General features: G+C 47.7%; 1 annotated feature.

Moving 5' to 3' along the window:
- Positions 1,333-1,937: an enhancer, noted in NCBI's record as "H3K4me1 hESC enhancer chr20:55468204-55468808 (GRCh37/hg19 assembly coordinates)". NCBI's record gives its function as "activates a minimal SCP1, AML or CMV promoter by ChIP-STARR-seq in primed H9 embryonic stem cells {active_cell/tissue: H9 hESC(primed)}" and the evidence as "EXISTENCE:reporter gene assay evidence [ECO:0000049][PMID:30033119]".

Here is a 2,294-nt window from a genome sequence, read left to right on the forward strand (position 1 = left end):
TTTGCAAGTAACTGTGACATTTTGCCACCAAAAGGGGAAGACTTGATCTGCTAGCAGTTCCTAGGTATAGTTTATGATTAAGCTCACACTGAAGAGTGAAGAAAGAGGCCAGGCACTGTGGCTCACGCCTGTAATCCCAGCACTTTGGGAGGCCGAGGCAAGTGGGTCACCTGAGGTCAGGAGTTCGAGACCAGCCTGGCCAACATGGCTATGCCCCGTCTCTACTAAAAATGCAAAAATTAGTCGAGTGTGGTGGTACATGCTTGTAATTCCAGCTACTCGGGAAGCTGAGGCAGGAGAATCGCTGGAACCCAGGAGGCAGAGATTGCAATGAGCCGAGATTCTGCCATTGCACTCCAGCCTGGGTGACAGAGCGAGACTCCATCTCAAAAAAAAAGAAAATAAAAGAAAAAAGGGAGAAAGAATAGATATAGAGAAATAAAGTTCTTCATGATATGACCATGAGTGGCTGGATCCAGCCTTGCCTGAGATTAATTTAATCCTTGACTTTTCTGATTCTGAACAAGTAATTCCTTTATTATTTGAGTGGGTTTTCTGTCATTTGCAACATAATGATTAATTATGCGTTGTTGGGAATCATTCTCATCTCCTCTGAACCGCTCAGTAATCCCAAATTCTGAACTCACACACTCTGTGATGTTTGAGGTGCAAATTAATCCCTGAAAAGCCTGAGCTGTGCATGCTTTGGGGATACTTCTCTGCCGTCTCCAAGTCAGAGTCAGGTGCATGGGTAGAGGGCTACAGGGACCTCTGGGCTAATGGGGTTTTTGGAGTTGGACTTCATTTCCCACCAAATAAATCTCCCTCCCCTGTTAGAGGATAATTTCTGGGACATCTTCTGACTAAGTTGAGGCTTGAGCCCCTTGCTTCTCAGTTTTCTCAGTCTGTGGTTATTTGTTGTTTTATTTAGGGATGGCTGGGGACGTGCTGTGATTATGGTTCGGGTTTTCATGTCTGCTGTAGATTTCACTGGGAGATCACCCCCTTCATGTCCCACCCCACTGGTAATAGTTATGTTCCTACTTGTTACTTTTAAAAAGCCTTTTATGGAAGGCCATTTGTGTAAACAAACAATCAAACATTTCTTTTTTTTTTTTTTTTGAGATGGAGTCTGGCTCTGTCGCCCAGGCTGGAGTGCAGTGGCACAATCGCAGCTCACTACAACCTCTGCCTCCCAGGGTTCAAGCGAGTCTTCTGCCTCAGCCTCCTGAGTAGCTGGCATGACAGGCACCCGCCACCGCACCCGGCTAATTTTTTTGTATTTTTACTAGAGACGGGGTTTCACCATATTGTCCAGGCTGGTCTCCATCTCCTGACCTCATGATCTGCCCGCCTTGGCCTCCCAAAGTGCCGGGATTACAGGCGTGAGCCATTGCACCCGGCCACAATCAAACATTTCTAAATTGCCCCTGCTTCCACAGGGCAAGGACTATCTCTTAATCATCTTTATTTTTCTAGTACACAAGTCCTCGGTTCAGCACAGCAAGTCAGTAAATGAGCGATCCTGTAACTCCCCGCCCACAGGGGAGGAGCCTGAGATGCAGACAGGCCGGATGCGTGTTGTGGGCCGGATGCCACCCAAGTCTGTTTGGCTCCAGAGCTTCCTGCTTCTCTGTCCCCACCTCCCCACCTGCCACAGCCTTCCTGTGAGCTCTTAGAGGAAGGGACAGTCTTCTTGCCAGAGTGGCTAATGACACCTCAGATCCATGCTAAATCTTTGAGCACAAGCTCTTAGGACGAGTGGCTAAAGGCCATTGAAACGCCAGCCCCACTGATACCCAGGATAGGAGGCACAGTGCTTTGAACAGAGCCCTCTAATCTCCTCCTTAGCTTCAAAAGGAATGAAGGGTTTCTCCTAAGGCTGTCAGTCAAACCATTACAGCCTTTGTGAAAGGTGTGACCTTGGACTGCAGTCACACACCTGCCCTTTCAGCAGCTCTTTCATGTTCTTTAATTCAACTGCACAGGGTTCCAAAGGCCACCTTCATTCACCTTCATCCCCCCCAACTCCTGATGCATAAAATCCTGCACTCTGCAGTTTTTCTCTCCCTTTCATTTGTTCTAAAGGTCACCTTAGCTCCTACTTTGAAGGAATTCATTCATTCATTCAACAAATTTTTGTTAAGGGCCTACTCTGCGTCAGGCACTGTTCCAGCACTGGGAACATGGTTACAAGGCAGGCAGCGTCTGCGTGGAGCCAGGGGTTGCCCTGTTCATGACCCAGCTCTGCAAAATGTCTCGCTAATATGCAAAGACAGTGGGTCTATTTCAAT

This window comes from Homo sapiens, chromosome 20 (assembly GCF_000001405.40).
Source record: "Homo sapiens chromosome 20, GRCh38.p14 Primary Assembly".
Taxonomy (NCBI): domain Eukaryota; kingdom Metazoa; phylum Chordata; class Mammalia; order Primates; family Hominidae; genus Homo; species Homo sapiens.